At 38.1% G+C, this 25,474-nt stretch overlaps 1 protein-coding gene across 9 annotated transcripts in view; it reads right to left on the bottom strand.

Moving 5' to 3' along the window:
- The window catches only part of PTCHD4 (patched domain containing 4), a 254,525-nt gene that overhangs the window by 130,376 nt on the left and 98,675 nt on the right, over positions 1-25,474 (bottom strand). For 8 of the 9 annotated variants that reach the window (XM_011514639.3, NM_001384253.1, XM_047418830.1 and 5 more), the window contains one exon: positions 21,586-22,066. In XM_011514639.3, coding sequence (XP_011512941.1) covers positions 21,586-21,733 — 148 coding nt within the window. In that variant the 5' untranslated portion in view covers positions 21,734-22,066. Of the gene's footprint in view, positions 1-21,536; positions 22,067-25,474 lie in introns of those variants that run through there. The other variant, XM_017010895.2, reaches the window with a different exon arrangement.

Consider the following 25,474-nt stretch of genomic DNA (forward strand, 5'->3'; position numbering starts at 1 on the left):
AAAAGCAAGTTTGAAAAAGTTTGCATTTGAATATTATCTATTGGATTAAAATGGAAGATAATGAACAAATTGTCACCTAGGAAATTACATGAAGAGAAAAATTGGGTTAGAGGCAGTAAATATTAACATTAAGAACATACACATGCATATTTGAAAAAGACTCAAATGGTGAAGGCTTAAAAACACACACTGGGAACTGTTGTGGGTGGGGGGAGGGGGGAAGGGGGAGGGATAACATTAGGAGATATACCCAATGCTAAATGATGAGTTAATGGGTGCAGCACACCAACATGGCACATGTATACATATGTAACAAACCTGCATGTTGTGCACAAGTACCCTAAACTTAAAGTATAATAAAAAAAAAGATTAAAAAAAAAAAAACAAGACTAAGTATCCAGCCATTTAAAGTGATGGTGCAGCTGCTTATGATTCTTAATATTCCAAGATTATGTCATTTTTGTTAATGCTTTAGTTAAAAAAAATGCTAAATGCTTGATAAAAAATAAACACATAGATACACTAAAGGGCCATTTCTGAATGTGCTAATTCCTTGAGGCTACTGGCCTGAAGGAATGAGAGGGTTCAGAAATTTAATTCCAAGGGTTGCTCAAGATGAGAAGTCTTATTGAGATACCTTCTCCAATTCAAACTTGGATTTCCAAAGCCATAGCTTTAGAACAATGTCACATGAAAACTAATCCCCATGTCTTACTCTCAGTCACATAACATTTTTTTTTTTTTTTGAGATGGAGTCTGGCTCTGTTGCCCAGGCTGGAGTACAGTGGCGTGATCTCAGCTTACTGCAGTCTCTGCCTCCAGGTTCAGGTGATTCTCCAGCCTCAGCCTCCCAAGTTGCTGGGACTATAGATGTGCATCACCGTACCCTGACTAATTTTTGTATTTTTAGTAGAGATGGGTTTTCACCATGTTGGCCAGGCTGGTCTCAAACTCCTGACTTCAGGTGATCTGCCCGCCTTGGCCTCCCAAGGTGTTGGGTTTACAGGTGTGAGCCACTGTGCCTGACCCCAGTCACATAACATTTTATAGAAGCTTGTCTCTGTGCTAAGCAGAGGAGGAAAAGAAATATTAAAAGAAAAAAATAAGACATTGTATTATAGATGGGTCTTTGTATACATTTACACATTGGACAGGGAACCTAAAGCTGTGACTAGATTTGAAATGTTTTCCAATTAGTAGTGCTGTCAAGTTCTAGGCTGATACAAACACATAGCCACTTTGGAAGAGACAACACCATTCTAGGAATCTGAAAACACCCATACAATTTTTTGCAAAAATAGTGACTATCACATACTTATAGATAACCAGACACACAAAGAAACAGGGTGATTGAGTCAAGAAACCTATACCAATGACAAACAGCAGTAGAGCCACAGAAACCTCAGGTAATGAACTAATTATAAAAACCTTAGAGACTGTGCTGATATGGTTTGGCTCTCTGTCCCCACCCAAATCTCATCTTCAATAGTACTCCCATAATTCCCATGTATTGTGGGAAGGACCCATGGGAGATCATATGAGTCATGGGGGCAGTTTCCCCATACTGTTCTTGTGGTAGTGAATAGGTCTCATGAAATCTGATGGTCTATCAGGGGGTTCTGCTTTTGCATCCTCCTCATTTGCTCTTGCTGCTGCCATGTGAAAAGTGCCTTTCATCTCCCACCATGATTGTGAGGCCTCCCCAGCCATGTGGAACTGTAAGGCCAATTAAACCTCTTTTTTTCCCAGTCTCAGTTATGTCTTTATCAGCAGTGTGAAAATGGACTAATTCAGTAAATTGGTACCAGTAGAGTGGGGCACTGCTGAAAAGATACCCGAAAATGTGGAAGCAACTTTGCAACTGGGTAACAGGCAGAGGTTGGAAAAGTTTGGAGGGTTCAAAAGAAGATAGGGAAATGTGGGAAAGTTTGGAACTTCCTAGAGACTTGTTGAATGGTTTTTCCCAAAAGCCTGATAGCGATATGGACGATAAGGTTCAGTCTGAGGTGGTCTCAGATGGAGATGAAGAACTTGTTGGGAGCTGGAGCAAAGGTGACTCTTGTTATGTTTTAGCAAACAGACTGGCAGTATTTTGCCCCTGCACTAGAGATTTGTGGAACTTTGAGCTTGAGAAAGATGATTTAGAGTATCAGAAGAAATTTCTAAGCAGCAAAGCCTTCAAGAGGTGACTTGAGTGTTGTTAAAGGCATTCAGTTTTATAAGGGAAGCAGAGCATAAAAGTTCAGAAAGTTTGCAGCCTGACAATGGGATAGAAAAGAAAAACCCATTTACTGAAGAGGAATTCAAGCCAGCTCTAGAAATTTGCATAAGTTAATCACAAAGACAATGGGGAAAACATCTCCAGGGCATGTCAGAGGTCTTCAACGTAGCCTTTCCTGTCATAGGCCCAGAGGCTTAGAAGGAAATAGTGGTTTCGTGGATGGAGTCCAGGGTCCCTGTGCTGTGTGAAGTCTAGGTACTTGGTTCCCTGCATCTCAGCCACTCCAGCTGTGACTAAAAGGGGCCAAGGTACAGCTCAGGCTGTTGCTTCAGAAGGTGGAGGCCCCAAGCCTTGGCAGCTTCCACATGGTATTAAGCCTGCAGGTGCACAGAAGTCAAGAATTGAGGTTTGGGAGCCTCTGACTAGGTTTCGGAAGATGTATGGAAACACCTGGATGCCCAGGCAAAAGTTTGCTGCAGGGGCGAGGCCCTCATGGAGAGCCTCTGTTAGGGCAGTGCAGATTGGAAATGTGGGGTCGGAGACCCCACAGAGAGGCCCCACCGGGGCACCACCTAGTGGAGCTGTGCGAAGAAGGCCACTGTCTTCCAGACCCCAGAACCGTAGATCCACCAATAGCTTGCACCATGCACCTGGAAAAGCCACAGACATTCAATGACAGCCCACAAAAGCAACCAGGAGGGGGACTCTACCCTGCAAAGCCACAGGGGTGGAGCTGCCAAGACCATCGAACCCATCTCTTGAATCAGTGTGACCTCGATGTGGGACCTGGAGTCAAAGGAGATAATTTTGGAGCTTGAAAATTTGACTGCCCTGCTGGATTTCAGACCCCTTTGTTTTGCCCAATTTCTCCCCTTTGGAATGACTATATTTACCCAATACCTGTAGCCCCATTGTATCTAGAAAGTAACCAGCTTGCTTTTGATTTTTCAGGATCATAGGCGGAAGGGACTTGCCTTGTCTCAGATGAGACTTTGGACTATGGACTTTTGGGTGAATGCTGAAATGAGTTAAGACTTTGGGGGACTGTTGGAAAGGCATGACTGGTTTTGAAATGTGAGGATGTGAGATTTGGAGGGGCCGGGGCAGAATGATATGGTTTGGTTGTGTCCCCACCCAAATCTCATCTTGAGTTGTACTCCCATAATTCCCACATGTTGTGGGAGGGACCCGGTGGGAGACATTTTGAATCATGGGGGCAGTTTCCTCCTTACTGTTCTCATGGTACTGAATAAGTCTCATGAGATCTGATGGTTTTATCAGGGGTTTCTGCTTTTGCATCCTTCTCATTTTCTCTTGCCACCACCATATAAGAAGTACCTTTTCCCTCCCACCATGATTCTGAGGCTTCCCCAGCCATGTGGAACTGTAAGTCCAATTGAAACTCTTTTTCTTCCCAGTCTCAGGTATGTCTTTATCAGCAGTATGAAAATGGACTAATACGTGTGCTTACCTTAATAAAAATAAATAATAATCTTGAAAAAGTATCTTCAGATGACAGGAAACAGGTATAGACATAGGCAACTCCAAGAAGAACTAAAACTTGTAGAAATAAAAATCCATTAATGAATATTTTAAAATTTAATGAATATGTTTAGCTACATATTCATATTAGCTACATATTCTCTTTTATCTAGATGCTACAAAGAAGAAAATTAGCAAACTGTTCTATCAGATGGAAGAAATCTTTCACAATGTAGCACAGAGACAAGGGGAAAATACAAAAGGAAGTATAAAAGACATGAGAAATTGTAATATATGTTTGATTGGAGGACAAGAGGGAAGGGAAAGAATAATATAAAAATATCATTTGAATAGATAAAGCTGATAGCTTTTTAGATTTTGTAAAAACCATGAACCATGAAATCAAGAGGTTCAATGAATCCTCAGTGAGACAAATTCAAAGCAAAACAAATAGAATAAATCAATCAAAGGAAGTCATATCTAGATATATCACAGCGAAACTGCAGAAAACCAAAGACAAAGAAGAATCTTATAAGCAGTCAGAGAAAAAGACAATGCGATAAAGATGATAGAGAATAGTTATTTTCAATATAATAAAGGAATTTTGTACCCAGTAAAAACAGCTTTCAATATAAGGACCAAAAAGACATTCTGAGTAAAACAAACAAACAAAAAATGGAGAGAGGTTTGCACCAGCAGGACATTTCTAGAGAACTAAATAATGTTCTTTAGAAAGAAGACTGATCCCAGATGGAAGGTCAGAGATGTAAGAAGAAATAGCAATTGTTAAACAGCGGTAAATATGTGTATTAGTAAATGTAAAAGATTATGTATGAGCTGTATCGAAAAGAAATAACGAGGTCTAATGAAGTTTAAAAAAAAAACTAACAATAGACTTAAAGTGCTAGACAGCAATATCATGTAAGTCGGGAGGAAGTCTAAATGGAGCTTAAATGATCTAAGCTATTTATTATATATAAAAGGAAAAGGAAGGTTTTGATTAATTTTAGATTTCCTAAATATGAATACTGTAATTTGTATAACAATCACAAAATCAAAATCAAAACTTTTAACTTTCAAATTTGTAAAAGGGAAAAATGAGTGATGAATTATATTAATTCAATCCAAAAGATGGTTAATAAAAAAAGAACAATAATAACATATAGACATATGAGACAACTAGAAAGCAAAAATAAGACAATAGATCTAAATTCAATCATATCCAAAATTATTTTGAAGGAACTAAAGGGACTAAATTTCTCCACTAAGAGATAAAAAATCATTAGCCTGGAAGAATCTCCACATTCAACTATACACAATTTACCAGACACATATGGAAAATGTAAGAAAACAGGTTAGTACAAAAACAATGGAGAAACGACAAATATGAACAAAATATTCTGATGAAGCTATAGTAATATTAGAAAATAGACTTTAAAACAGAAAACTATTTCTAGAGATAGAACACCACTTTATGCTGATAAAATATTTAATTCACCAAGATGATATAATTGTGTATATATATACACACACACACGTGAACATATATATATACACACACACATACATATGCACGCACGTAATAACATATGTGGTGAAACTATGAAGAAAAGCTAAAAACTGATTACCAGAAGACTTCCTTCCAATTTACATGTTATCACAAAAGATGAGGGAGGGAGTTGTAATTAAGAAAACGTGCTCAGGAGGTTTCTGGAATGCTGGTATTGTTCTATTTCTTCCTTTGAGCAGTCTTCATATGTGTCAACATATAGCTATTAGTAAAAATAGTACACATGCAGGTTTTATACAGTTTCTGCACTTATGGAAATTCTTGATTATTATTAAATTAAAAAGCAGAATGCATAATAACATATATACAGTCATCTCACTTTCATTTGATATCTCTGTATATATATATTTAAGTATAGATGTAATAAAATTATGTACACACTTTTTATTACTAATAGTATCTGGATGGTGGTTTGATACTTTCTTTTTCTTTGAATGTTTTCCTATAATAAATATGCTACGTTACTTTTGTAATGAAAACATGAATTAAACACAGACACGCCCAATTACTACCCAGAATAGAGTGAAGAGAGATTGGTAGAAAGATGTATGTCAACCTTGAAAATGAAAAATGAATAGCATTGTATGAGATACAGATACTCAATGAGAAGGGAATACTTGGAAAGCAGCAGTGCTGAAAAGGACTTCAGGGTGAGTGTGGACAGCAAATTAGATAGAAGCCTGCAGTATAATGTGCCAGGAATGAATGCCAATGCTATTTTCAGCTGCAAAAGCATGGGCACCATGGCACGAAACAAGGACAGGCAGCCTCTTTTATATATATTTGGAAAGTCTGACTGTAAGGCAACAATTATACGTCAAACTACTTTTAGCTTAAACTAAGTAAATGAAAAAAATAGCCACCATGACCTAAAAATGATTATGGAAGTCACCAATGCAATAATTTTTCTATTCTTGCTTTGTAGAGAGCATAACCTCTTTTAATGCCAGCCTCCGATTTTACCAATGATGATGGTAAAAACATGTATGTTAGAAGAATTTTCTTCAGGCTCTTTCTCAAAGTCGACATATCCCAATAGCTAAGATAGATATAAAAATTAGTCTACACAGGGAGCTCTGCCCTCAAGACTTCCACTTGGAGAAAGCAGACTCTAGGAATTATAAAAGTAGGTAAAATGAACCTTGACAGTTGCCTGGCCTCTGAAAGGAGATGCAATGCACAATATATTAAGGACTTTGTGAACTTGAGATGTCAAAGCAGCAGGCAGAATATGGCAGCAGATATCCAGGTGTCAGTTGATATTCAAAGTCAGGTGGACAATGCAGACTGCTCCTAAGTCTGCTGATGGCCAGCAGCTGGGTTGGTAGAGAGTAGAATCCATTTCCTTTGAACATGTTTGTTTGGCAAGAATTAGGCAATGAATTAAAACAAGTGGATGGACCTTAGGGCAGGACTTCAGATCCAGCAGGACATGGGGGTACTGTTTCATATCTAGTAAGAAATTGAGAGGCTTAGAAGGATATAGAAATCCCTCAGATGGTAGAAATAAAAAGATCTTAATTAAAGGACTACTTATAGAGATATGGGCAGAGCCAATGGAAAAACAAAACAGAACAACAAAAAGTACATTGAGGTACTCAGACTATTGAGAGCAGGAAGCTGTTATCACTTTTAAAGTATAAGAGACAAAATAGTATTACCAGTGCCTGACGATGGCTGTAGATATGGAGCAGAGGCTGCCTCCCAGAGACTGAAGTTGTTGCTAGATCAGGGAAGGCGGGAGCAGGTAAGAAAGACTTTGACCTGTTTTTCCTTCTACCCTACTATCTTCTGGTGGTGACTTTTATTGGCCAAACCCAACCAAAAGCCAGAGGACAAGGGATACTGGGTGATGCAGTCCATAGGAATCTGCTGTCCAGAGCAAAGATGAGAAAAGAGAAAGGTGGGAAGAAAATATGGTGGCAATGGAGAGGGAAAACAGAGTGACCAGCATGAACCCCATGCAAGGCACCCAAGGTAAAAGCCAATTATGCATAGTGGGTCAATATGACAGAGCATATTTCATTCAGTCAGTCCAAAAATAATTTAAAATTCCTCCTATATTGTCCTAGGCCCTCTACTAGTTGCCTGGGACACAAAAACAGCAAGTCTTGACCTTTTAATGAAGGCTTTGCAGTCTAGCATGGGAAGTGATGATAGGCATGTAAACAAGGGTACAGAGAAGGCAAAAGAGAAAACCAATCAGTGATTCTTAAATTTGGAGGTCAGTAAAAAATGACATAGAACAAAGAATATTTGAATCTGGTAGATCACAAGTAAGAGGTGGAAGGTAATTTCTGGAAAAAGCAACATCACAAGATATGAAACAGCCTTGTGTATTTGGATAGATATCAGCTAGGTTTTGCTTAGAATTAGAAGCTATTCAGACACTAAACCCATGGGTTTCCTTGGAGGGACTTCTCTGCCTTGGCTGAAATGCTACGGAAACACAGCAGTGCTGAGCTGAGTACATATAGATGGCATGTTGGTAATGGCATTTGGATAGGGTGAGGGAATACAGGAACACACTTGCTTCTGCTTTAGGATTTTCATTTTTCAGGAAAAGGTTAAGAAGAATTAGAATGGACAAAGGGATAAATAGACTGAAATAAATAACACAACCAAAAAGAAAAATGTTCTAGGAAGTTTACAGGAGGGAACAGTAGGGAAGAACCTCAAACAGTTAGAAATCATAAAAAGATGGTCACTCTCTGAGGATTAAACTCATTTGGTCTAGATAGATAGCGTTTGTTTCATTTGACCTGTTTATTGACATATATAAGTAAAATATTTATAATAAATAAAGAAAGGAGAAAGAATGTGTGGTAGTCCCATCAGAAACACTATTTACTTAGTTCATTTACTTACATAGTCAGTGATATTGATTCATCTTGGCAAAAGTTTACCAACAAAAGGAGGTGGCCAACATGGAATGATCGGGGCTAGCAAGGTGAGCATCTGTTTTACATACACAGAAGTTTCCAGGGAGCAATGGGACAGCATCTGGGAGGCATTGGGGCAGCATTCTTTGAAAGGAACAAAGAAATTCATCAGGTAGCACTGCTTTAATTTATGCTCATCACAAAGTCTTCTGAATAATAACTGGTCTTTTTACATATCTTGAGAAAATGAAGCCTAGTTAGAAGATACATGTAAGCCCCTTTTTTGGAGAGGTTACCAGACAGAGATTCTCACTCACTTATTTATCTCTTGTCAACATGCTTAATGGGATTCCTTCGTTGAGAGTTTGGTTTGCCACTGTACCTTTATAAAACAATTTCTTGACCCATAAGACAGAAGTTCTTCCCCTGGAATACAACAAAATTACAGATAATTCTGTCATTGAATATCTTGGCATCTTACTTAGTTTTTCCTGGCAACCATAAACCATCATTGCCTCCAGCCTTTGAGATTGGGTTAACTTGTCTACAGGAGAGAAAGTTAAGGTGTTAAGTAAAAATCATACCTCCAGGAACACTTCAATAAAATGACTCCAGGAAGTACATGGATAAAATATTTGATGGACGTGCAGCCACCCATGCTATGAAACACATTTAGTTCATGTCTAGTATAATTTCTACCTTCCATTATATTATGAAGGAGGCACTGTCGAATGGTAGAGGAATGGCAGTTTTCAAACTTTTAACTTTTATTTTAGGTTTAACTTTCAACTTTTATTTTAAGGGTACATGTGCAGGTTTGTTATATAGGTAAATTCATGTCACAGGGGTTTGTTGTAAGATTATTTCAAACTTTTATATATTTTTTTCGTTCATAGTAATTTTTTATTCAAACTAAATCTTTACGGAAACTTGTCATGTGAAATATTTAGAGCAAAGTGCATGGTCAGAATCAGGAGAGAGTGGCTGGGCGCGGTGGCTCATGCCTGTAATCCCAGCACTTTTGGGAGGCTGAGGCGAGCGGATCACTTGAGGTCAGGAGTTGGAGATCAGCCTGGCCAACATGGTGAAACCCCATCTCTACTATTAATAAAAATTCAAAAATTAGCCGGGTGTGGTGTTGCATGCCTGTAATCTTAGGTACTTGGGTGGCTGAGACAGGAGAATCACTTGAACCCGGGAGGCAGGGCTTGAAGTGAGCCAACATTGCAGCACTGCTCCCCAGCCTGGGCTACAGAGTAAGTGAGACTCCTGCTGGCTCAACTATTCTCAGGCCCCGCAGTACCCTCTGCACCCCAGAAGCCCCGGGCTCAGTTGGAGAACAGCTAGCAGAGCCAAGGAGCCTGGGAGGCAAAGTCAAGAAATGCAGGTTGTAATCCTGACCACACAGTCTTGAGAATGGTCCTGATGACTACTTTCTTATTTAATAGAAACAGCTGCCCTACTTACCTCTTGGCAAATAAGGAATCCATATTCATAAAAAAATGGCCATTGAATACTTTTAAGTGCATGAAGCTCCACGCAAACATGAAAAGGTACAACTTTTAAACTAAACTTACACTTGAAACACCCAAATCCCTTCATCACCCAATCACTTTCAATGGCTTTGTTTAAAAGCCATTGATTTAAATTTTTTAAAAGAACACATAATTTTACACTCAGGGGTATAACACTTTTCTAAAAAAATAACCTTTATCTTTGCTGTGAGCTAGTAAAATCACAAGTCATTCATTCAAGAAATAATTATTGAACACACCACTTATTATTTGCCCCGCATTGTGGCAACACAGTAAAGTATATACCCTTGCCTCGACTCTTGATCATGGCAGGGTAAAGGAGGAGGAAGGTAATAGAATTATAGAGAATGAAGCCATCAATTTACTGCTAAGTATTATAATGAGTCCTCATTATGTTCACCAGTCTCACCCCAAAACCTACATGTTAGGTGCCTTTCAGTGATCTCTTTTGTGTGATCTTATTTGGTTTTCATTCGATGAAGTGAGCCAGTTAACCTCCTTCCTCTCTTTTTTCTTTTTTTTTGTGCTAAAAAGTAGTTTTACCTAATTTTGTCCCCATTTATTTCTGGTAAAATTATCTAATTTTCCTTCATTACTTGGCTTTTATCATTTAGTAATATGGCTATATTATTTATGCCTTTTATTATGTCACCTCAAATACTGTTAATAAATACTCTTTACTAATATACTATCTTACTTTATATCATTAAATAGAATATTTAGTTTAGAATGTTACACCTAAAAGGGAAACAATCACTTCAAGTATCATTGGCCTGGACCTAGTCTTATTTCCATTTAGACTAAGTCAACGAGGGGAAGCAGCAAAACAAACAGCAGCATCTTCTTTATATTAAACTCAAACTCAGGATTGTACTCAGACTGATTTGCTAAGGGTACATAGTGATATCTGTAAGTCAAGTCTTGAATATTAGAATTTTGTCTTGGTCTGGATTAAGACATTACTCAATCATTAACAAAGAAGCCAACAACTATGATACACAAACACTTGCTGCAAATATAAGCCACCATGTTCCAGGAAGGCAGGTGGGAATTAGTCCACAGGGGTTCCTCAATTCTTGGAAGCCTAAGGTTGGCCTCTGGGACCATCAAATAAACATAGAATGTATCTTATCTTTCTCTGCCAATTTTCTTTTTTGTTAGATCACTAGGTATGATAATACTGGCTTGAAAGATAATTGAATCTAGGAAGTATATCTCCCATTTTTCAACACATTTTTCTTCAGAAAAACAATGGCATAACCCTTAATGCATTTTCACCCTACAAGTTTCCAGAGTTTCAATTGCAGCATTTACCTTGCTTGATTCAGTACTGCAGAAAAAAATCCCATTCTGGTTGGCAATTGCAGCTGTCCTGCACCAGGAATGTTTTTTTTTCTTGGGACATTCTGACATGACAGTAAAGTGGACTTCAATTAATGAGAAGTGTTAAGGTTGCTTTTGATAGACATGTATTTGAGGATGGCTTAGATGCTGGAGAAATGGAAGTACCTGCCATATTATTATTCTACCATGTGCTAGATAAATTGATGTCACTCCCATGTCCCTCCCTGCTTAGCTATTCAATCCTGATTCACTATCTGACTCAAGAAGTAAAAAGCAAGAGCAGCACATATTGAACAACAGGAGGCATATTTACAAATCTTTCCATTTAAAAAATCTAAACTAGCATATCAGCTACTCTCAAGATAAACAAGATTACTAAAATGGGTCCATATGCATCTCACCCTCAGTAAAATTGTTATGTAACAGTACTCTTTCTCATTCCTAAACTTCAGTAACCACTTGAGGAAACTCATTTGCAGTAAAAAGTGCAAGAGACGGAGGTGGATTCCAAAGAAGATGTAGAACCTTAAGGAGTCAGGAAAATTACTAGCAGTGTTGGACAGTGCTATATAATAAAAAGTACACACTAGTCAATGCTACCTCAAATGCTTGACATAAAATTCACCTCTTACTTCTCATGCCAAGATAGCTATCTTTTCCACCTCCTTTAAAAGGTCTAGCAAAACCAGTTAGTGAGACAATGTCTCACTTCATTAGAAAGGTCTGACACAGTAGGTCCATGTCAAAGCTCTAAAAGAAGAACAGAGAAGGAAATAAATAGGCAAGAAAATTAAAACTAAAGAATTACATACATAAAAATAGGCACATTAAAATATCTAAGCTAAAAACAACCAAAAGTTAAGACTTTTCTTGCTCAAAGAACTCTAGCAATCATAAAAGCCACCAATAAGTCAATGTTTAAAAATGTTGACTATGGGTACTTTAGACAATGGCAAAGATGCCAAGGAGACACAGTTCTATCCCCCAGTGAGTCAAAACTCTAGAAAAGATGACATACAGAATGAGTGTCAAATAAATGATTCACTCATTAAAGAGCTAAAGTGGAAGAGATGTTAAAATACAATGAGTTCTTCCTCATCCAATGAGAGAGTAAGATGAAGGAGGCCCAGGGACAAGACATCTAGCAGGTTAAGAGGCAGGAGCTGGACTGGACTCCAAGTCGTCTGACTCTAAGCCTCTAAGCATAAGCATGGGAATATTTTCACATCATTGGCCAGTGTTTTTCAAAAGAGGTGACTGTCACCAAAGTAGCATGACTACAACTGATATGGTTAAGAAATAGCTCCAACTAAACATTCCAGATGTCATAATAAGGTCCTTTCTCTTACAGCAATGGAATTATTTTAGGAAGGATTTTGATGTGTTTGATGATCCTGAGTAAAATAAGTCCTGTGGCAACATATTAGAGACATTTCTAATACTGTAAAGTAATCATTATAAAGAACTTTAGCCAAGCATTAAGTCTTAGTGGGCCCACTATATCCTAAACACTGTGCTGGTTCACGCTTTGGGAAATAGACGTGCACAACGCAGAGGTCAGAAGAGCTATGTCTTCTCAAAACTACTGACCCACAGAATCCATGAACATAATAAAGTGGTTGTTTTATCCTACTAAATTTTGTGGTGTTTGTCATAGATAACTAGAAATCTCCAACATAGTTAACTAGGTATCTAGTCACAGATAATTAGAACAGACTCCAACCTAAAACAATTATCTGACCCAGAAAGAACCATAATATTTCAACTTATCAATTTCTTACCATAGTGATGTTAGGAAATAATATTGCCATTTCCTTTATTGTTTGGTTTAGTTTATGTGAAAGAGACAAGTGATGCTCATAAAACAATCCATTTGCCCATCTGTGTTTTCTATACTCCGTGCTGTTGGCTAGCCAATAGAATGTATAAGAAGTAACTGCATCACTTCTGAGGTAAGGCTGTTACAAATAGGTATGAATTCTCTATTTTCTCTTTTGCCTGCATGGCCTTGAGCACAAACTCTGAGGATTCATGGTTACAAGATGGAGGCATCCTGGATCCCTGAGTCTCTGTTGGAACAGAGGTGGCAAAGAGGTCTTCCTGACCCACATCAAACTGAGAGACAAACAAGAAATATATCTTTGTTATGTTAACATGATCAAGGCATTATTTGTTATTACAGCATAGTCTAGTCTAGCTGACCCTGACCCGCACAATTTTCATGATCTGTCATTATAGTCACATCTTTGTATATACTGTAAACCTCATTTTTTGTTTTCTGATTAAATTCAACTCAACACCTACTTAATTCTTCTACCCAGCTATATGTGCCTAGGGGTTAAGAAAACAGCAACCATGTTTACTCATTTCTTTTTTTAAAAAATTCATGAACACAAGCTTCAAGTGGGCGTTTAGAGATTTCTAGTTATCTTTCCGAATTTTCTTTAATTCAGTCTCCAGTTTTCCAAGGTGACTCAAATTCCTTTCACTTTCCACAAACCAACACCTCCTTCCCCAAGTTTGTTCTCAGCTGATGACTGGCTTCATATTTGCTGACAAAGCTGAAGGCACAGAGGAGGATTTCCACATGCTCTCATCCCCATATGCACTGAGTTATCTGGATCTGTCCATGTATTAGGCCTTTCCTTTACCTATAGTAGGTGAACTGTCTATGAAATGACTCCACTTATGCTCTGAATCTAGTCCCTTTCCTACTCAGTGGCATTGCTTCTGCAGTTTCTTCCTCTCTCTGCTTTCCTATAAAGTTTTCTTTCTCACCTGAGTGTTCCCATCAGCATGCAAATATTAATTTCTTTTTAATGCAAAATCCCTCGAAAGAACAATGTGCAAAAATCACAAGCATTCTTATACACCAACAACAGACAAACAGAGAGCCAAATCATGAGTGAACTCCCATTCACAATTGCTTCAAAGAGAATAAAACACCTAGGAATCCAACTTACAAGGGATGTGAAGGACCTCTTCAAGGAGAACTACAAACCACTGCTCAATGAAATAAAAGAGGATACAAAAAAAATGGAAGAACATTCCATGCTCATGGATAGGAAGAATCAATATCATGAAAATGGCCATACTGCCCTAGGTAATTTATAGATTCAATGCCATCCCCATCAAGCTACCAATGACTTTCTTCACAGAATTGGAGAAAACTACTTTAAAGTTCATATGGAACCAAAAAAGAGCTCACATTGCCAAGTCAATCCTAAGCCAAAAGAACGAAGCTGGAGGCATCATGCTACCTGACTTCGAACTATATACTACAAGGCTACAGTAACCAAAACAGCATGGTACTGGTACCAAAACAGAGATATAGACCAACGGAACAGAACAGATCCCTCAGAAATAATGCCACATATCTACAACCATCTGATCTTTGACAAACGTGACAAAAACAAGAACTGGGGAAAGGATTCCCTATTTAATAAATGGTGCTGGGAAAACTGGATAGCCATATGTGGAAAGCTGAAAGTGGATCCCTTCCTTACACCTTATACAAAAATTAATTCAAGACGTATTAAAGACCTAAATGTTAGATCTAAAACCATAAAAACCCTAGAAGAAAACCTAGGCAATACCATTCAGGACATAGGCATGGGCAAGGACTTCATGTCTAAAACACCAAAAGCAATGGCAACAAAAGCCAAAATTGACAAATGGGATCTAATTAAACTAAAGAGCTTCTGCACAGCAAAAGAAACTACCATTAGCGTGAACAGGCAACCTACAGAATGGAAGAAAATTTTTGCAATCTACTCATCTGCCAAAGGGCTAATATCCAGAATCTACAATGAACTCAAACAAATTTACAAGAAAAAACCAAACAACCCCATCAACAAGTGGGTGAAGGATATGAACAGACACTTGTCAAAAGAAGACATTTATGCAGCCAAAAGACACATGAAAAAATGTTCATCATCACTGGCCATCAGAGAAATGCAAATCAAAAACCACAATGAGATACCATCACACACCAGTTAGAATGGCGATCATTAAAAAGTCAGGAAACAACAGGTGCTGGAGAGGATGTGGAGAAATAGGAATACTTTTACACTGTTGGTGGGAATGTAAACTAGTTCAACCATTGTGGAAGTCGGTGTGGCGATTCCTCAGGGATCTAGACCTAGAAATACCATTTGACCCAGCCATCCCATTAGTGGGTATATACCCAAAGGAGTATAAATCATGCTGCTATAAACACAGACGCACACATGTTTATTGTGGCACTATTCACAATAGCAAAGACTTGGAACCAACTCAAATGTCCAACAATGATAGACTGGATTAAGAAAATGTGGCACATATACACCATGGAATACTATGCAGCCATAAAAAATGATGAGTTCATGTCCTTTGTAGGGACGTGGGTGAAGCTGGAAACCATCATTGTCAGCAAACTATCACAAGGACAAAAAACCATACACCGCATGTTCTCACTCATAGGTGGGAATTGAACAATGAGAACACATGGACACAGGAAGGGGAATATCACACACTGGGGCCTGTTGTGGGGTGGGGGTAGGGGGGAGGGATAGCATTAGGAGATATACCTAATGTTAAATGACGAGTTACTGGGTGCAGCACACCAACATGGCACATGTATATATATGTAACAAACCTGCACATTGTGCACATGTACCCTAAAACTTAAAGTATAATAATAATAATAATAATAATAATTGTCTTTATTCACTATCTTCACTTCATTCCCTCCAATCTGTATTGAATCTCTTGAAATTACCCTTTCATTTTCAGCATTCCCCCAAGCAGCTCTTTTCAAAGTCACCAATGACTTCTATATTGCTAAATCAGATGGCTACTTCTCAGTTCTTAACGGACACAGTTTCTTAGCCGCTTTTGGAACAATCACTCTCTTGTTCCTTCATAAAACACTTTCTTTACTCTGCTGCTGGTTCGTTATTCTCTCTTGCTTCTCATGCTATTTTTCTGCCTGATCCTTCTTAGTGTCATTTTCTGAATCCCTCATCTTCCCAATTTCTAACCATTGAAATGCTCCGGGGCTCAAATCTTGGATGTCTTATTTTTTCATTTATATTTATCTTTATACTTGATCTCATTGGATTCTATGGTTTTCAATATTAGCTATGCTGTGATGAATCTCAAATTTGTATCTTCAGCTCTAATTTACATATTTCCTCTGAACCTGATCTATGTACTGTGTTATATTACTGACTCCACATTTGCCACTTGGTTTTGTTTTTCTCCCACAGTGAATTCCTCTCATGACTTCACTACTGCAGTAAATGGCAAATGCATTCTATCACTTATTTGGTCCTCTAAGCCTGGGGTCATCATTGACAATTCTTTTTCTCTTACATGCCATATCTAGTCCCTCACTGAGTCCTGTCAATTCTATTTTCAAATATTTATCCTGAGTCTAATTCCTTTTTATCACCATCCCTGCTCCCACGCTATTTCACATCACCATTATATCCCACGCAAAATTTGCAATAACCTGTTAAATAGTCTCTGTAGAATTATTCTTGCCCCATTGCAAATTAATTTATGTAATGTAGACAAAAATATCTTTATAAAGTATGTCAGACCACACCCTCTTGTCTCAAAATACTTCAAACAGCTTTAATTTCACCCGAAGGTTAATTCTCAGTGTCCTATATGACCTGACCCAATACTACCTCTTAGACCCCTTCTTGTAACACTCATACTCAGATCAGACTCTGATCCAGACATATTCGCTTTCTTGCTCTTCTTCAGCTTCGCCAAGCAAGGTCCTATATTAAAGCCTTAGCACATATATTTCTCTCTGCCAGAGCCACTCATCTCAGGTGCTTCGTTTAGCTCTCTGCTTCAATTTTACTCTTTAGAAAGGCTTTTATCTGACCACTTATGTTCTTTATCCCTTATTCTGCTTTATTTGTTTTATTTATATCACCTAGAAATCATATAACATAGTTTATATTTCTCTATTTAGTTGTCCTATTCATCCCTTTTGCAGTCCTAAAACGTAAGGTTCATGAGGGTGACAACTTGATCATTTCTGTTCAATGCCTTTTACTTCAGAACCCAAAAATTTCTTGAACATAGTAGATGCTCAATAAATCTTTGAAAATTAATAAACAATTTAAATGAGTCTCAGTTTGGAAAAATGAGTGAAAATCTGTATCTGAAAGGCTTGTTTTTACTTGCAAAAAACGAGTCATCACTGTGTCCTGTGGTGTCAAGCTGACTGAAGTGAGACTTTTACACATAACGCAGACTCAGAATGGACAAAAAAATAATAGTGATCCGAGGCTACTACTGTTCCTGGCAACTATCCATAGAATATCAGCAAAGCACAGAATGAGCCAGCTTGGCATCTGTGTGTAATATTAGCCCATATTTCTTCTTCCAGAAAGAGGAAACACATCCACATAAAGCAAATGAGGTGAAAAAAAGGCTGACAATGAGTTATAAATTAAATTAGTGCCATTCTCATTGGTATGTGCTTAGAGAGAGAAAGGATGTTAGGCTAGCACTAAATGAGGTCCTTTCAAGTATTTTTTTAAAAAATTATGGCCCAGCACGGTGGCTCATGCTATAATCCCAGAACTTTGGGAGGCCAAGGCAGGTGGATCACCTGAGGTCAGGAGTTTGAGACCAGCCTGGCCAACATGGTGAAACCCCATCTCTACTAAAAATACAAAAATTAGCCAGGCGTGGTGGCACACGCCTATAGTCCCAGCTACTTGGGAGGCTGAGGCAGGAGAATCACTTGAACCCGGAAGGTGGAGGTTGCAGTGAGCCAAGATCATGCTACTGAACTCCAGCCTGGGTGACAGAGCGAGACTTCATCTCAAAAGAAAAAAAAAATTATTAGAATTTTGGAATTCTTTCTGAATACTTCTCTAGAGAGACTGCATGCACCTCTAATAATCTTTTTTTCTAAACCCCAATCTGAGACATACAATTTGACACATATAATTTTTTTTATGAGAACACCAGGACAAAGTATAAAAATTGTCACTGGCTTAAAAAATGTGGGATATTTAGGTACAGTATATATGCCTCTGAAATGACTTTGAGAATATTAAGTGGATGAATGACAAGACAAAAAGAACAAGGAGATGCAGTACAGAGGCAAGATAGGCAGTCGAAGAGAAGACAGCTAAGCCAGTTCAGTGTGAGGAACAAACAGTATCAGCGACACACCCAGCTTCAGGGATGATACTGATAAGCATGAATGGTTTGAGTATTGACACATAATGGAGTAAATAAATATTCACTATCTCAAAGAAGTCATCTTAGGAAGACAGGAATAGAAATAGAGGTTTACTAGAAGAGTTGGGCTTCTTTCCCTTATACCCAGCTAACTTAGGGATTATGCAGTTTTGACACCATGTAAACTGTAATTCATCAAAAACTGGTTTCAACCATTATCGTGTATACCACCAGCAGATATATATGTGGCAAACACAACGTATTTATGCTCAACTTCACATTCCACCTCACCACCTTCATAGCAATATGCTTTTATGTCTCACAGCTTTGTGTATCTGAGGCTCTGTATGCAAAGCTGTGATTTTTCTATTCTAAGCCTCTCTGTCTCTCTCTTTCTATCTCTGAAGGCATTAGAAGGCAACAAAGGAGACTATAGATTAGAGATTTGAGGATAACATATACTTTAAAGATTTTTATAAAGGATTAAATACTAACTTCAAAGATGAAACAAATTGTATTTTGAAATCTTCAAATTGTAAGGCTGAAGATTCCAAATCCTTTATTTTATATATGAAGGACTTAAGGCAAAGGGATGTCACAGAACTGCCCAATATAACACACAGAGTTAGTAGAAATGCTGGGATGAAAACCTAGCAGAGTGTTCCTTTTATTTCACCAGTTCTCAATCTTGGCCTCTTTTCTACTACAATCATTTTAAAAATAAAACAAAACACAACCAAACAAATGCCCCCTTTATGGAGCAAAAATCTTAAAGTATATGTTCTTAGGTCTTCTGTTGGTATGTTTTCAGAAATAGCAGAAATGATCCTTTCAGAAGATTTTAAGGACTTGAATTGCAGAAATACTTCAGAGGGACCATTAAGCAGTCTTCCTAAAGTCTGCACCTACACTGTGAAGGGTTTATTTATGATTCTAAAAGTCACTGGGAGAGGTGCAAAGTGTGTGTTGAAGGGTCTAGACTTTTCCCTCACTGTGGCTTTTAGCATTCCAGTTATTTGTTTAAAGAACGGAAATACCTCTCGGGCTTCACAGAGCCTAGGTTACAATCCAGCATCAGCAGAGGTAGTTTTTCTCTTTATTTTATGGAATATGTAATTGTATGTTTTTCTGGTAAATGCTTTCATTACCTAATTAGTTCATCAGCAGTTTTAGAAAGCAACCCTGGAAAGCAGTAAGGTGTCCAATTTGTTAACCTCCAATGAACTATGTTTCATTTGTAAATCATGCTGTATGGTTCTTATAAATCTTATTATTTCAAGCGATGAGACTTCATTCAAAAAAATGTAACAAGTGTAAATGGTTCAAATCTAGACTCATCTTTGTCATTGGTGACAAGAATTTTTTTATAGAATAAGTTCTTTGGGAAAAAGAAAGATACTATTTACTAACAATATTAATATGTATTTAGAGATGATATGCAAAATCCAGGAAGGCTCAATTTCCTAAAGCCAAGGGCTGTTTTCTATTCATTAGTGAATCCATTGCACTTAAAACATCAGGTTAAATAGTAAAACTTGCTGATATTTACTTAGCATTTACTATAGGCTATGAGCTTTAATTATATACTGTTACATTTTTCAAACCTAGTTTTTGAAACTGACATCATTATATTCCCCATTTTATATGAGAAAAAACTGAGGTTTAAGAAGGTGAACTAGCTGGGCGTGGTGGCTTACGCCTGTAATCCCAGCACTTTGGGAGGCTGAAGTGGGTGGATCACCTGAAATCAGGAGTTTGAGATCAGCCTGGCCAACACGGTGAAACCTCGTCTCTACTAAAAATACAAAAAATTAGCCAGGAGTGGTAGCCAGCACCTGTAATCCCAGCTACTCAGGAGGCTGAGGCAAGAGGATCATTTGAACCTGAGCAAGAGAGGTTGCAGTGAGTTGAGATCGTGACACTGCACTCCAGCCTGGAAGACAGAGCGAGACTCTGTCCCCCCAAAAAAAAGAAAAGAAAAAAGAAGATGAACTAACAACTTAACATGGCCACAATGATATTGAGTTAATAGATAAATAAGTTAGATCCCATCATCTATCATATAAACACACTTCATATTTTCATTCTCAAAAACATTTGCTAAGGTTGAAAAAGAAAGGGCCTATGTCACCTAGAAGACTTTCTGACCACACGCCTGCATCTTTTTAAATTTGCCAATAAAGCTGTAATTCAGAGCTGATTTTAACCTGGAGGGTGAGAAACAATTATTTTGTTTAAGGAATGAAAACACTTCTCTGGCTTCATAGGACATATATTACAATCCAGCATCAGGAGAGGTAGCGCTTCTCTTTATTTGTATGGAATATATAATTGTCTGTTTTCCTCATAGATCTTTCCATTACCTAATTAGTTCACCAGCAGTTTTAGCAAAACCCCTAGCAAGCCCTAAGATGTCTAATATGAAGACTGTCTTGCTCATGTCAGTTCACCACCAATAAGCTATTTGCAGCTCATTCTCTAAATCACTACACATAGGGAATTACATCACACCTGATGTGTAGAACCCTCTTGCTGAACCAACAGCTATCACTATCATCATCTCTTTTCTGATAAGACACATCAGTCTTGTTGCTAAGCACTTACGTGCCTTTATTCCCAGATTTGATCTTCTCTTTGAAAGAATATGTGCGCGCGCGCACACACACACACACACACACACACACGCACCACCTACATAGTATTTTCTAGACCATTTATGTATAGCTGGAGGAAAACTTACAAGATGAGATAATCTTGACTAAGGCTATTCATTAATTCTTTTCACCAAAGATGAAAAAAATTAGAGGATATTTCTAAGTGGCAGCAGGAAGGTTTTAGTTTATACAGAGGTAGGGGAATGGAGTATACTCTGTGCAGAAACATTGAAATAAATTAATAAACAAAGCTTACTTAAGAAGTTCTTTGAGATTAGGACACATCATTGGTCCTCAGAATTTTCATCCCATGATATTCACTCTTCACTCCCATCAACTTGAGAATGGCCATGAATATGGACCACAAAATTTTGCTCGAAGTAGATTTTGGATCTCCTTAACTCGGTCTCTCATAATCCCTGATCTGTTATTTTTGAGGGATCTGAGTAGAGAATTCCAATGTTGTATAACTTAAAAACATTTGACAGCATTAAATTAAATGAGTAGATGGTTTTGCTTATCCCATAATTTCCTGAAAGGCCCAATAAGGTGAAACAGACACAACCCCAAGTAAAATTTTATGTAATGACATAGACACCCCAATGCAAAATTAAAACAGATTTCCACCTGAGAATTCAAGAAATATACTACCTTGCCCCAAACCGGTAAGAATCCGATTACCACAAGGATGGATAGTTACCCATGGCGAAGAACGGGATTCCCAGCAGGGTGGAGTTGTACTTTCCATCGGTGATGAAGAAGATCCCTGCTGCTGTGATGATGGAGATGCATACTGTGAGCACCCCCAGGAGGCCCAGGAAGGGCTTACTGCGCAAGCAGTCCTTCATGGAGCTGGAGAGGGTGGCTGTGGTCAGGATCAGCACGAGGCTCACCAGGACCTTGCTTCTGGCCAGGATGCTGGTCTTATGAAAGTCCCTCCAGAGGCTAAAGGATGCTAAAGAGTAGAGCTGGAGTTCTTGATGCTCCTCCTGGAGCTTCCTTATAAGCTTACAGAACTCATTCTCCCACTTCTCCCCTATGAGGTCTTGGGTGGCAGAGCCATAGGTCTGGAGGTAGTAGGTGATTTGAATGGCTCTGGCTGACTTGACCCGCTGATCTTTGCTGTTTGGCACTTCCACTACCCCGCCCAGTTGGTGTCCAATAAAACTGTTCCTCCCATCCTTGAAAACAGAAAAAGAAGAGACTTCAGTTACGGATGTATATTCCAGGGAATAGATTCTTACTCTAAGTGAAGGAGCACAAGGAAGGCAGAGATAGGTGCTAGTAATTGTGAAACTGATGTGGGTGGAGAGGCAAGTTAGAATTTTATATTCAACATTTGGAGCTACATGGGATACCATGTATGATGATCAAGGGCAGAAAATATGCAAAAAGTATTACAAAGCTACAGAAGAATTGCCACATGCATAGAGAAACGTAGATAAATATTTTGTTCTCACTCATATCCCGATTCCCAACATTTCCTTTTGTAACAATCCATTACAAATCCTTAATACAAGATCAAGTTTTATGATTCAGTTTCAGCCAAAAGTAAAGCTTGCCATGAATTAATAATATTTCAAAAGTTAAGATAATTATCTGTTCTATAAATGTACACTAATCTTTCTAGGGTTCATTCATATACCTATGCCAACACTGATACAAGTACACACAAACATGAATATTCTTATATATTCTCTATATTTTGGGAATATAATTGCATACCGAAGAGCAGTACAAAAAATATTGTTTCTTACAACTAATTTAATGGCATTGAAATATTTCCTAAATATGATGTGAACACCTATTCATACATTACAATGCTCTCTCCAAACACCTGCCTCAGACATAGGTTGACCTTTTCTTATTGATGACAGTAGACAAATCCCCTAAATTAGACTGATAAGAATTTCAGATTGAATTGCCAAAAGTCAATTCATTTTCAGAGTTTGACATGAGGTAGAGTAGGCAAGATCATGAGAGTAGGAAATTGGTAAGAGAAGCAATCACTGCTCTTTAAGGCACATGTATGTGGCCGAAGAGTTACTAAAACAGGTTGAGAACGGTATTTCTCATCCAGTGTGCCCCAACATGAAGAAAGAAATCTCGAAGAGCTGTCAACAAATTATCATTAATTTGGAAAGTTTATTATTGCCACAACTATCATTTATTTCAATGGCAATGGTTCTCAGAATACTGAAGCTAGTAGCAGGTTGCATGATGAAGTATAGTGTTGAAAGTATGCTCAAGTACCAGGTGAGAGACAGGCACTAAGGTATGTTTATGTCACAGTAGACTGTGTGTCAACTGAACCTGCCAAGATGTTTATCTAACAAGGATATAAAGGGGTAAAATCAGGAGAAGAAACAGTTCTTCCTAGAGTGGGTAGGGCAGAAGACAACAAACTCAATAGTGTGATAACTCTTGTTTTTCGCAGAACTGGGAGGTATTATGTACTCTAGCAGACACATGTCTTAATTCTTGTGGACTTGTTTAGCTCAGACACTTATATCTAAGGCACTTGTTTGTATTTACATTTTTAACATGTGACAAAGCAACCCTAATACTTGAGAGTGTGTTGCAAACACAAAAAGTTTACAATATTTACAGAGAGTAAAAATGCTGTTAGTAGGATCACCAGGAATTCCAAGTGAGGAATTTCTTTTTTTTTTCTTTAATTATTCTTTTAAGTTCTGGGGTACATGTGCAGAACGTGCAGGTTTGTTACATAGTTATACATGTGCCATGTGGCTTGCTGCACCCATAAACCCATCAACTACATTAGGTATTTCTCCTAATGCTATCCATCTCCTAGCCCACCACCCACCGATAGGCCCTGGTGTGTGATGTTCCCCTCCCTGTGTCCATGTGTTCTTGTTGTTCAACTCCCACTTTTGAGTGAGTGTTTGGTTTTCTGTTCCTGTGTTAGTTTGCTGAGAATGGTGGTTTCCAGCTTCATCCAAAGGACATGAACTCATCCATTTTTATGGCTGCATAGTATTCCAGGGTGTATATGTGCCACATTTTCTTTATCCAACCTATTATGGATAGGCATTTAGGTTGGTTCCAAATCTTTGCTACTGTGAACAGTCCTGCAATAAACGTACGTGTGCATGTGTCTTTACAGCAGAATGATTTATAATCCTTTGGTTATATGCCCAGCAATGGGATTGCTTGGTCAAGTGGTATTTCTGGTTCTAGATCCTTGCAGAATCGCCACACTGTCTTCCACAATGGTTGAACTAATTTACACTCCCACCAACAGTGTAAAAGCGTTCCTATTTCTCCACATCCTCTCCAGCATCTGTTGTTTCCTGACTTTTTAATGATTACCACTCTAACTGGCATGAGATGGTATCTCATTGTGGTTTGGATTTGCATTTCTCTAATGAGCAGTGATGATGAGGTTTTCTTCATATGTTTATTGGCCTCATTAAATGTCTTCTTTTGAGAAGTGTCTGCTCATATCCTTTGCCCACCTTTTGATGTTTTTTTTTCTTGTAAATTTGGTTAAGTTCCTTATAGATTCTGGATATTAGTTCTTTGTCAGATGGATAGATTGCAAAAATTTTCTCCCATTCTGTGGGTTGCCTGTTCACTTTGATGATAGTTTCTTTTGCTGTGCAGAAGCCCTTTAGTTTAATTAGATCCCATTTGTCAATTTTGGCTTTTGTTGCCATTGCTTTTGGTGTTTTAGTCATGAGGTCTTTGCCCATGCCTATGTCCTGAATGGTATTGCCTAGGTTTTCTTCTAGGGTTTTTATGTTTTTATGTCTTACATTTAAGTCTTTAATCCATCTTGAGTTAATTTTTGTATAAGGTGTAAGGAAAGGGTCCAGTTTCAGTTTTCTGCATATGGCTAGCCAGTTTTCCCAGCATCATTTATTAAATAGGGAATCTTTTCTCCATTGCTTGTTTTTGTCAGGTTTGTCAAAGATTAGATGGTTGTAGATGTGCGCCATTATTTCTGAGGCCTCTGTTCTGTTCTATTGGTCTATATATCTGTTTTGGTACCAGTATCATGGTGTTTTGGTTACTGTAGCCTGTAGTATAATTTGAAGTCAGGTAGCGTGATGTCTCTAGCTTTGCTCTTTTTGCTTAGGATTGTCTTGGCTATATGGGCTATTTTTGGTTCCATATGAACTTTAAAGTAGTTTTCTCCAACTCTGTGAGGAAAGTCAGTGGTAGCTTGACGGGAATAGCATTGAATCTATAAATTACTTTGGGCAGTTTGGCCATTTTCACAATATTGATTCTTCCTATCCATGAGCATGGAATGTTTTTCTATTTGTTTGTGTCCTCTCTTATTTCCTCGAGTGGTGGTTTGTAGTTCTCCTTGAAGAGGTCCTTTACATGCATTGTAAGTTGTATTCCTAGGTATTTTATTCTTTTTTGTAGCCATTGTGAATGGGAGTTCACTCATGATTTGGCTCTCTGTTTGTCTATTATTGGTGTATAGGAATGCTTGTGATTTTTTGCACATTGATTTTGTATCCTGAGACTATGCTGAAGTTGCTTATCAGCTTAAGGAGATTTGGGACTGAGACAGTGGGATTTTCTAAATGTACAATAATGCCATCTGCAAACAG

This window comes from Homo sapiens, chromosome 6, assembly GCF_000001405.40.
Source record: "Homo sapiens chromosome 6, GRCh38.p14 Primary Assembly".
NCBI classification, from domain to species: domain Eukaryota; kingdom Metazoa; phylum Chordata; class Mammalia; order Primates; family Hominidae; genus Homo; species Homo sapiens.